Genomic DNA, 12,357 nt, shown 5'->3' on the forward strand with positions numbered 1-12,357 from the left:
AATCCCAGCTACTTGGGAGGCTAAGACAGGAGAATGGCTTGAACCCGGGAAGGGGAGGCTGCAGTGAGCTGAGATCGCGCTACCACACTCCAGACTGGGTAACAGAGCAAGACTCTGTCTAAAAAAAAAGAAAAGAAAAGAAAAGCCAGGCGTGGTGGAATGTGTCTGTGGTCTCAGCCACTCAGGAGGCTGAGGCAGGTGGATCAGTTGATCCCTGGAGGTCAAGGCTGCAGTGAGCTATGACCATACCACTGTACTTTAGCCTGGGTGACAGAGCAAGGCAGTATCTCAGAAAAAAAAAAGACAGGCTGAATTATCTCAAATTAAATAAGACTAAAAATATATAACTAAATAAAATATGTGGTGTTGGTGTGGATCTTATAAAGGACATTTTTGAGACAACTGGTGAAATGTGAAGATAGATTATATGGTAAATAATGGTATTATATCAAAGCCAATCTCCTAAATTTGATCACTGTATTTGCCAGGATAAATCCCATGTTCTACAGAGATCTGTGCCTCAGTCTCAAGTCTCTCAAGCTATTCCCTCCCTGCTAGATTGGACCTGATGGATGATGACAACTCAAGTGACTACGACTGCTGATTTCTTTCACGTAAGTCCATCCTTTTATTCTTGCTTCCAAGACCTATATGCTAATCTGTTTTCTCCCTCATCCATTCCACAAAGTCCTAGAATCAGCATGATTTTGGCAAAACAATACCATTCTCACATACGGATCATAAAATGTTCAGTAAGAGAGATCATAACATTTGCCAAATTCAATAGTTTTCTCCTATTTCATTTTTTTCTTTTTGAGACACAGTCTCACTCTGTTGCCCAGGCTGGAGTGCAGTGGCACAATCTTGGCTCACTGCAACCTCTGCCTCTCAGGTTCAAGCTATTCTCCTGCCTCAGCCTCCTGAATAGCTGGGATTTTTTTTGTATTTTTAGTAGAGACAGGATCTCACAAGGTTGACCAGCCTGGTCCAGAACTCCTGATTTCAGGTAATCCGCCCGCCTCAGCCTCCCAAAGTGCTGGGATTACAGGCGTGAGCTACCATGCCCAGCTTGCTTTCTCCTATTCCTTTGCCACAGAACATTTTTAGAAACTCAGAGAGAGGACTATTAAGAAAAATTGTTCAAAGTGAAACTTGAAGACAACAGATTCTTCTTAGCCCTCTGCATTTACTCCTCCCCTCCCTCTTCTCAGATGCTACAGGTACTCCCCAGGAAATAATTATAAAACCAGTGATCAAGTCCAACTCCAACTGTAAGCCCCTTCTTATTAACTTCACGTTCCAAACGGTTTATTCAATCAAATGAAAACAGACTGTTAAAGTGACAGTCCTCCAACTCCCACCCTTTCCATTACACCAGACTGATCCAGTTGGTGAGAATTCCTGCCATGAGGTCAGTCATACTTACTGGGAAGAAATTCAAAGGTGTCAGAAAGAGATAGCTTATGAACTGTGACTCATCTAAAACATCCCAAAATAGTATTATCCAGTTCAATCACACCACCACATTTGTTAGAACTGGCTATGACAACATTTTATGCTCAACGTATTTACAGGTGTTCCACCAAATCACGTAACAATTGAAAATAAATTTAGAAAATGTTGAATGAGGCTAGGCACAGTGGCTCACACCTGTAATCCCAGCACTTTGGGAGGCCGAGATGGGAGAATCACCTGAGGTCAGGAGTTTGAGATCAGCCTGGCCAACATGGTGAAACCCTGTCGCTACTAAAAATATAAGAATTAGCCAGGTGTGGCTGGGTGCAGTAGCTCACGCCTGTAATCCCAGCACTTTGGGAGGCCGAGGCGGGCAGATCACGAGGTCAGGAGATCGAGACCATCCTGGCTAACACGGTGAAACCCTGTCTCTACTAAAAATACAAAAAATTAGCCAGGTGTGGTGGCAGGCACCTGTAGTCCCAGCTACTCGGGAGGCTGAGGCAGGAGAATTGCTTGAACCCAGGAGGCGGAGGTTGCAGTGAGCCGAGATCACGCCACTACACTCTAGCCTGGGCGACAGAGCGAGACTCCATCTCAAAAAAAAAAAAAAGAGAAAACGTTGAATGATAGTTCCCTTAAAATAGGTGTATCCATCTCCTCAATGCATCTCCTTCTTCAACAGTAATAATCTTTCTTTTCCTCTTTTTTATTTTTCAATCTTTTTTAGAGACAGGGTCTCACTTTGTTGCCCAGGCTAGTCTCGAGTTCCTGGGCTCAAGTGATCCTCCTGCCTCAGCCTCCCAAAACGTTAGGATTACAGGCATGAGCCACCACACCCAGCCCTTTTGGGTCAACACTTTCAGAGGACAAGGCAGGAGGATAGCTTGAGCCCAGGAGTTTGGGACCAGCCTGGGCAACAATAGCGAGACTCCAGCTCTAAAAAAAAAAAAAATTATAAAAACATAATAATTTTTTCAGTGAGTTCTGACAACTGCTTTAAAATACGTCAGTATTACACTTTACATTTTTGTAGATATATTAAGAAAAGCTCAATTTCACAAGATTGTTGCTCAGGCTAGTCTCAAACTCTTGAGCTCAGAGGACCCACTCACCTAGGCCTCCCAAAGTGTTGGGATTATAGATAGGCATGAGCCACAGTGCCCAGCTGAGATTTTTTTTTTAAGAAAAAAAATATATATATACAGTATTCTGTTTTATGTTTACACTATATTTTCACAACACAAAATACTTCAGTTAGGTTTTTTTTCTCAAACAGGGACTCACTGTCGCCTAGGCTGGAGTGCAGTGGCATGATTATAGCCCACTGCAGCCTCAACCTCCTGGGCTCAAGAGATCCTCCTACCTCAGCCTCCCAAAGTAGCTGGGACCACAGGCATGCACCACCACACCAAGCTAATTTTTTTTTATTTTTTGTAGACGGCTCTCACCATGTTGTCCAGGCTGGTCTCAAACTCCTGGGCTCAAGGACTCCTCTAGCCTCAGCCACCCAAAATGCTAAGATTATAAGCATGAACCACTGCACCCAGCCTTTCTCTTTAGGAAAAAAAAAAGAGAAAGAGATATTGATGGGATTTCGCTCTATCACTCAGGCTAGAGTGCAGCAGTAGTACTACTGTAACTCATGGCAGCCTCTAACTCCTGGGATCAAGTGATCCTCCTGGGTCAGCTCCCAAGTAGTTGGGACCACAATCACACACCACCATGCACGACTAATTTTTAGTTTTTCTGATAAATAGGGTCTCAATATGTTGCTCAAGCTGGTCTCAAACTCCTTGCCTCATGTGACCCTCCTACTTCAGTCTCCCAAGTAGTCTGGATTACAGGCATGAGCCAGTGTGCCCAGCTAAATATGTACTGTTCACTGTACATTGGCCATACTTCAGCAAAGCTGTAGGACACATTACAGGGAGAGAGAGAAAGATGAAAAAAGTAAAAATATAGAAAAAATAAATAAATGAAACATCAATCAAATAAATAAGTACAATGTCAGTGAACTCAGGTTTCTACCTACGAATCCACATGGTACGGAGTACAAACCTGCACTGAAGTTGATCATATAGCTTTCCAGAGCCTTGCCCACCACCTGGTCCAGCATGCCCTCTGCCTGGAATACTAGTCCATGTCTCCAGCACAGCAGCCCATATTCTGCAGCCTACTGAGCTCTATCTAACTGGTCATGCTACATCATGTAGGCTCACTGCCCTTGCACATGAATTATAAAGGCCAGAAGCTAGCTAACTAGATTTTTCAGATTTAACTATTCTTCTACAGTAATTTGTTTTATCCACACGTATGTGGCTGAGCAGTTCAGTTAGACTATTTGTTTTCTCCATGTTGGCAAATTATTTCCTACATGGCCCCCAAGTTACAAGAATATCTATGAGTTCATTAGTACAAAATTCAAAAACAAGCAAAACATAATACTATATTATTCAGGGATGCACACTAACACAGTGATACCTATAAAGAAAAGCAAGGAGGCCAGGCGCGGTGGCTCACGCCTGTAATCCCAGCACTTTGGGAGGCTGAGGCAGGCAGACCACCTGAGGTCGGGAGTTCAAGACCAGCCTGAACAACATGGAGAAACCCTGTCTCTACCAAAAATGCAAAATTAGCCGGGCGTGGTGGCGCATGCCTGTAATCCCAGCTAGTCAGGAGGCTGAAGCAAGAGAACCGCTTGAACTCGGGAGGCAGAGGTTGCAGTAAGCCGAGATCGTGCCATTGCACGCCAGCCTGAGCAACAAGAGAGAAACTCTGTCTCAAAAACAAAAACATACAAAAAAAAAAACGGCAAGGAAAAGATTATCTGTGGGGAAAAAGAGGAGTTTATGGTTGGGGAAGGAACACATACGTTTGTTAGGGTTGTTAGCAATTTCTGACCTGGACTGTGGTTAAATGGATGTTCTCTTTATAATTATTTAAGTCAAAATTTATTTTACTCACTTTCTATATATTTTACAATAGGAAGTTGTTTAAAAAAAAAAAGAAAGAAACTAAACCATTATTCCACAAGTAAATTTCCTACACTATTTTGCTTAAACAGGTGCTCATATTCCACTTTCATCAGACAGAGTTCTAAGCTACAAACTCAAATGCTCACTTCAAATATATATACAACACTTACGGTCTCCTTCCTAGTCCCATGTTCCCAAAGATAGTCTCTCCATTCTGAAATTCATACAACAGCAGAGTGAAATCAGTTCAGGAATATAATATTCTACATTTTTCCTCCAGTTGCAAATTAATTTTTTTTTTTTTTTGAGATGGAGTCTCACTCTGTCGCCCAGGCTGGAGTACAGTGGCATGATCTTGGCTCACTGCAACCTCCGCCTCCTGGGGGCTAGCAGTTCTCCTGCCTCAGCCTCCCGAGCAGCTGGGATTACAGGCGCCTGCCACCACACCCGGGTAATTTTTGTATTTGTAGTAGAGACAGGGTTTCACCATGTTGGCCAGGCTGGTTTCGAACTCCTGACCTCAGGTGATCCACCTACCTCAGCCTCCCAAAGTGCTGGGATTACAGGCGTGAGCCACTGCCCCCAGCCTAAATGATTTTTTTAAGTGCAATGACAGGTTTACAATTTTGGGCATAAGGGTACATGTTCTCAAGATCTCCTGGAGCTGTGTCACGTAAAAAAGAAAACAAAATCTTGGATATCTCCCAAACACAATTAAAATCCAGTTACTTGAGACTCTCACTTAACCTTCTATATTTCTTACTCTCAGAGCTTTCCTGTTTTTTTAAACACAGATGCTTATAATCCATTTTAAAATGCAGAATAAAAAAACAGCTCTAGGCCGGGCACTGTGGCTCATGTCTGTAAACCCAGGACTTTGGGGGGCCAAGGCGGAAAGACTGCCTGAGCCCAGGAGTTCGAGAACAGTCTGGGCAACAGGGCAAAACCCTGTCTCTACAAAAAAAAAAAACAAAAATTAGCAGGGTGTAGTGGTGCATGCTTGTCCCAACTACTCAGGAGGGTGAGGTGGGAGGATCTACCTGAGTCTGGAAAGTCATGGTCGAATATGCAGTGAGTTGAGATCATGCCACTGCACTCCAGCCTGAGTGACAGAGTGAGAGAGACCCTGTCTCAAAAAAAGAAAAACAGCTCTATCCTATTATTACAATTATGTTTACATTATGTATGCACACGTACTAAAGCCTTGGAGGGCTTGTGGGAAAATTAGAAACTTTACTTGTAGTGAAGGTAAAATATATTTTTCTTTTTTGTTTTATACCCACATCTTCTTAGCAATTTTTTTTGTTTCAAATCATGTGTTTGGTAATGCAATATACCTTTAGCCTTAGCCTTATGAAATGCTTGGTTCTTTCTAAATCTCTCAGCATTTGATAGAACAAGAGCCAGCTGTCCGACATCCAGCATGACTTGGGAAGTTACTATATAAAGTTCCACTCTAGCTGGGCATGGTGGCTCACGCCTGTAATCCCAGCACTTTGGGAAGCCGAGGCATGCGGATCACGAGGTCAGATCAAGACCATCCTGGCTAACACAGTGAAACCCTGTCTCTACTAAAATACAAAACAAAATTAGCCGGGCGTGGTGGCGGGCACCTGTTGTCCCAGCTACTTGGGAGGCTGAGGCAGGAGAATCGCCTGAACCCAGGAGGCGGAAGTTGCAGTGAGCCGAGATCACACCACTGCACTCCAGCCTGGGCAACAGAGCATGATTCTGTCTCCAAAAAGAAAAAAAAAAAAAAAAAAAAAGGTTCCACTCTGATTTTTTTCTTTTCCTTTTTCTCTTTTTTTTTTTGAGATGGAGTTTCGCTCTTGTTGCCCAGGCTGGAGTGCAATGGGCACAATCTCGGCTCACTATAAACTCCACCTCCCGGGTTCAAGTGATTCTCCTGCCTCGGCCTCCTGAGTAGCTGGGATTACAGGCATGTACCACCACACTCGGCTAATTTTTTATTTTTAGTAGACATGGAGTTTCTCCATGTTGGTCAGGCTGGTCTCGAACTCTCAACCTGAGGTGATCCACCCACTTCAGCCTCCCAAAGTGCTGGGATTACAAGGTGTGAGCCACCGCACCCAGCCTCCACTCTGATTTAAAAAAAAAAAAAAAAAGTCCAAATAGTGAACTCGGCCGGGTGCGGTGGCTCACGCCTGTAATCCCAGCACCTTGGGAGGCCGAGGCGGGTGGATCACAAGTTCAGGAGTTCGAGACCAGCTTGGCCAACATGGAGAAACCCCGTCTATACTAAAAATACAAAAATTAGCTGGGCGTGGTGGTGGGCGCCTGTAATCCCAGGTCCTCGGGAGGCTGAGGCAGGAGAATAGTTTGAACCCGGGAGGCAGAGGTTGCAGTGAGCCAAGACTGCGCCATTGCACTCCAGCCTGGACAACGACAACAACAACAAAAAAACAGTGAACTCTTTTTTTTTTTTTAAGACAGAGTCTCAGCTCACTGCAATCTCTGTCTGCCAGGCTCAAGTGATCCTCCCACCTCAGCCTCCCAAGTAGCTGGGCCTACAAGCGTGCAGGCACCACCACACCCAGATAATTTTTCTTGTATTTCTTTGTAGAGACGGGGCCTATGTTGCCCAGGCTAGTTTCAAACTCCTGGGCTCAAGAGTTTTGACCACCTTGGCCTCCCAAAGTGCTGAGATTACAGGTGTGAGCCATGCCCAGCATAAACTCTTATACCATACTGATTACTCAGGGAAAAAACTTTTTAAAGTATGTGATTTATATGTCTCACTGAAACATTCTTTGCTTTGTTAATTATCTATCTCATCGAATTTTGTTTTATACCATTATGGATTGTATCAATCCCTTTCATCTGGGAAAGTGTTGAACACCATTTTGAGAGGAAGGCAAGTACATCGGTTCCCAGTGGCACTAAACCAGGAATTGTTTTTAATTACGGCTTCTGCCTAAAAATATTCTTCCCTAATATTTTAAAATCTGGAACTAAATAATGGTTTAGTTCCCAGGAGTCAAATAGCCTACATATAACACTCTCTGAAAACACCATTTTTGAAAAGATTCATACATTCCTAATTAAGAATCCCAATATAATTTCAATCGTATTATGTAAAATACTTTATATAATGTAATCTGTAATTTTACTCTAAATTATGTTACAATTAATAAAGTGCAATCAATATGTACTATATTATAGTGAATTAAACTATTGAAAACCTCAATCAATAGCTAATTTGATAATTCTAGCCCAGTTCATAATGTAAGAGAACAGGAAATGAATACTTTAGCTGTAAAGGAACATGGAACTTTCAAATTTTTCACACATAAAATACATAACACACACACATCCCACAGAAAATGATAATGATAAAGCAAATGGGTAAAATGTTAACTGTAGATTCTGAGTGAAGAGAAAATAAAAGTTCTTCATACTAATCTTGTAAGCTTTTACTTTTAAGTATGTTTAAATTTTTGTTATAAAAAACATCAGGCAGCTAGCTGGGAGCGGTGGCTCACATCTGTAATCCCAGCACTTTGGGAGGGAGAGGTGGGCAGATCACCTGAGGTCAGGAGTTCAAGACCAGGAGTGGCCAACCTGGTGAAACCTTGTCTCTACTAAAAATACAAAAATAAGCCAGGCATGGTGGCAGGCACCTGTAGTCCCAGCTACTGGGGAGGCTGAGGCATGAGAATTGCTTGAACCCAGGAGGCGGAGGCTGCAGTGAGCCGAGATCGCACCACTGTACTCCAGCCTGGATGACAGAGCGAGACTCCGTCTCAAAAAAAAAAAAAAAAAAAAAAAGGGCCGGGCACAGTGGCTCACGCCTGTAATCCCAGCACTTTGAGAAGCAGAGGTGGCCGGATCATGAGGTCAGGAGTTCAAGACCAGCCTGGCCAAGATGGTGAAACTCTGTGTCTACTAGAAAATACAAAAATTAGCCGGGCGCAGTGGCAGGTGCCTGTAATCCCAGCTACTTAGTAGAGACGGGGTTTCACCTTGTTAGCCAGGATGGTCTCGATCTCCTGACCTCGTGATCCGCCCTCCTCAGCCTCCCAAAGTGCTGGGATTACAGGCATGAGCCACCGCACTCCGCCAACCATAACACTTTTATGTGTTGCCACCACTACCTGAAAATCCCATCCTCCCCCACTTAGCTGAAGAACTCACACTCAACTTTCAAGACACAATTCAAATGTCCTTTTCCACAGAAATATTTCCTGACATCACCAAGTAAGTCAAAGGCTCTACTCACACAGCTCATTAGACTGTGAGTCCCCTGAGGACAAATAATATAAAGTATTTGTTTGTATTCTTAGGACCCTGCACCTAATCAAATTCTTAACATTTGCTGAGCTGCAATCAGTGGAGAAAAGGAGCCCTTTTAAATAAACTTTTCTGGAATAACCAGATAACCATAAGGAAAAACAGAAAAATGGATCTGCCATTTCCCACACTAACTACCAGGGCAAATCCTAAATGGATAAGAGAGTGACATGTAAAAATAAGGCTGGGGCCGGGCACGGTGGCTCACGCCTATAATCCCAGCACTTTGGGAGGCCGAGGCAGGCAGATCACGAGGTCAGGAGATTGAGGCCATCCTAGCTAACACAGTGAAACCCCGTCTCTACTAAAAATACAAAAAAAAAATTAGCCAGTGTGGTGGTGGGCGCCTGTAGTCCCAGCTACTCGGGAGGCTGAGGCAGGAGAATGGCATGAACCCGGTAGGCAGAACTTGCAGTGAGCTGAGATTGTACCACTGCACTCTAGCCTGGGTGACAGAGTGAGACTGTCTCAAAAAAAAAATAAATAATAAGGCTGAGCATGGTTACTCATACCAGTAATCCCAGGACTTTGCAAAGCCAAGGCAGGAAGATCACTTGAGCCCAGGAGTTCAAGACCAGCCTGGGACCAGGCACAGTGGCTCACACCTATAATCCCAGCACTTTGGGAGGCTGAGGCGGGTGGATCACCTGAGATCAGGAGTTCGACACCAGCCTGGTCAACATGGTGAAACCCCGTCTCTACTAAAAACACAAAAAAATTAACCAGGCATGGTGGCAGGTGCCTGAATTCCCAGCTACTCGGGAGGCTGAGGTACAAGACTCACTTGAACCTGGGAAGCAGAGGTCGTGGTGAGCTGAAATTGCACCACTGCACTGCAGCCTGGGCAACACAGCAAGACTTTGACTCCAAAAAAAAGATCAGCCTAGGCAACACAGCAACACCCCGTCTCTATCTTTATAAATTAAAATTAAAAAAAGGTAAAAAATGAAATCATACAAGTACTAAAAGAACACATTGCTGAATTCCTTTATAACCTAGGAATGATAAAAGCTTCCCAATTATAATTCAAAATGAGAAAAGTAACCACATCAATATATTTAACTAAATTTCTTTAACTTTTTGGATAATAAAAACATCACAGACAAACACATTTACAGCAAGATCACCGAAACAATACTATTTTTTAAAATTTTATTTATTTATTTATTTTTTTGAGATGGAGTCTCACTCTGTCGCCCAGGCCGGAGGCAGTGGCGCAATCTCGGCTCACTGCAAGCTCTGCCTCCCGGGTTCATGCCATTCTCCTGCCTCAGCCTCCCAAGGAGCTGGGACCACAGGCACCCGCCACCACGCCCGGCTAATTTTTGTACTTTTAGTAGAGATGGTGTTTCACCTTGTTAGACAGGATGTTCTCAATCTCCTGACATCGTGATCCGCCCACCTCAGCCTCCCAAAGTGCTGGGATTACAGGCATAAGCCACGACGCCCCGCCTATTATTTCTTATTCTCAATTATATTTGAAAGATCAGTAAGTTGTTAAACGATTTAGTGATCAAGAACAGTCCCCACAAAAAAGGTCTACTGATCATAGATTCATACAGGCAGCTAACAGCACGCTAGAAACAACGAAAACCAAAATGAATTAAAAGACAAAAATTATGAGGAAAGATATGACAGACAATTCCTAAAAAGCTAGTATTTGTAAAATCAGAGTTCGAAAATATAAATAAAGGAGTATAAGATAGCAGAGGCTGGGCACAGTGGCTCCCACTTGTAATCCCAGTGCTCTGGGAGGCCGAGGTAGGGAAATCACTTGAGTTCAAGACCAGCGGGGCCAACACAGTGAAACCCCATATCTACTAAAAATACAAAAATTAGCCAGGTGCGGTGGGTGGTGCATGCCTGTAGTCCCAGCTACTCAGGAGGCTGAGGCAGGAGAATCGCTTGAACCCGGGAGGCAGAGGTTGCAGTGAGCCAAGATCACTCCACTGCACTCCAGCCTGGGCGACAGAACAAGACTGTATCTCAAAAAATAACATGATATAATATAACATAACATAACATATCATAACATAAAAATAAAGGCTGGGTGTGGTGGCTCACACCTGTACTCCCGGCACTTTGGGAGGCCGAGGTGGGTGGATCACTTGAGGCTGCGAGTTCAAGACCAGCCTGGCCAACATGGTGAAACCATGTGTCTACTAAAAATACAAAAATTAGCTGGGTGTGGTGGCGCGCACCTGTAATCCTAGCTATTCGGGAGTCTTGAGGCACAAGAATCGCTGCAGGTTGCAGTGAGCCGAAATCACACCACTGCACTCTAGCCTGGGTGACAGAGCGAGACTCTGTCTCATAAATAAATTAATTAAATAAAATAAAGATAGCAGAGAAGGGCTGGTGTGGTGGCTCGCACCAGTAATCAAAGAGCTTTCAGAGGCCAATGCAGAAGGATCGCCTTCCCGCCAAAAATTTGAGACCAGCCTGGGCAACACAGCAAGATCCCATCACTACAGAAATTTAAAAGTCACCCATATGCGCGTGGTAGCACATGCTAGTAGTCCCAGCCTCTTGGGAACCTGAGGTGGGAAGATGGCTAGAGCCGGGAGATCAAGGCTGCAGTGCGCTGTGATCAAACCACTGCACTCCAGCCTGGGCAACAGAACAAGATCCTGTCTGTAAAAACAAAAATAAAACACACAATTGCAAGGACACCAAAATTATATTCTCACACAACTTCAGAAGGTATCTCACCTACAAAATATAAAAAATTCCATAAATTCTATTTATGGCATAAGAGCTGCATCAGGAGAAAGCATGGAGAAGACTCGGTACGGCGAGAGGATAGGGAACTGCAACATAGTAAAATATTGTTAGGTCTTCACAATGACTGCTGCAATATTTAATGCAAATGTTAAATGCCTCTTCAAAAAGCAGCTTCCTACAGTTAAAAAATAGTAATATTCTATAACTAAAATTTGTTTTTTGCTTTTTTTTTTTAAATTCTACACGCTAGCAGCAGCAAAGGAAAAAAGCTGGATGCTACACCTAAAAGTATACAGCAACTGAGGATGCCCAAATAACAGTAAGCTGATGTACTTACAGGGAGTTTGGTGAAGGCCGGGTTGGTGACATGCTTCCCAAAGGCATCTTCCTGGAACTGAAGAAGCTGCACCACCAGCCCAGCCAGTGTTTTATTGGTAGGAGCATCCGCATGAACATACTGCAAGATAAAGACAGGCATTCAAAAACTAGTACAATTTTTGCAGGAGAAAATGTTGGCTTACTTCCTAGTACCTACTAAGTACTTACGTTATGGGAAATTTATAGATGTCTGAGACACGCTCTGTGCTATAAAGGAGCTTACAAAAACAAATATGTGTGTGCATTTAAAAATGGTTAAGACGGTTAATTTTTTTTTTCTTTTCTTTGAGACGGAGCTTCGGTCTTGTCACCCAGGCTGGAGTGCAGCGGTGCAATCTCGGCTCACTGCAACCTCTGCCTCCCGGGTTCAAGTCATTCTCCTGCCTCAGTCTCCAGAGTAGCTGGGATTACAGGTATGAGCCACTACCCCCAACTACTTTTGTATTTTTAGTAGAGACGGGGTTTCACCACATTGGATAGGCTAGCCTCAAACTCCTGACCTCATGTGACC

The 12,357-nt window shown here is 43.7% G+C and overlaps 1 protein-coding gene across 1 annotated transcript in view; it reads right to left on the reverse strand.

Moving 5' to 3' along the window:
- The window catches only part of SMARCC1 (SWI/SNF related BAF chromatin remodeling complex subunit C1), a 196,625-nt gene that overhangs the window by 175,743 nt on the left and 8,525 nt on the right, over nt 1-12,357 (reverse strand). The window contains exon 2 of the mRNA NM_003074.4: nt 11,806-11,925. Within this exon, the coding sequence (NP_003065.3) occupies nt 11,806-11,925 (120 nt within the window). The remainder of the gene's footprint in view (nt 1-11,805; nt 11,926-12,357) is intronic.

This window comes from Homo sapiens, chromosome 3 (genome assembly GCF_000001405.40).
Source record: "Homo sapiens chromosome 3, GRCh38.p14 Primary Assembly".
In the NCBI taxonomy this organism is placed as follows: Eukaryota; Metazoa; Chordata; class Mammalia; order Primates; family Hominidae; genus Homo; species Homo sapiens.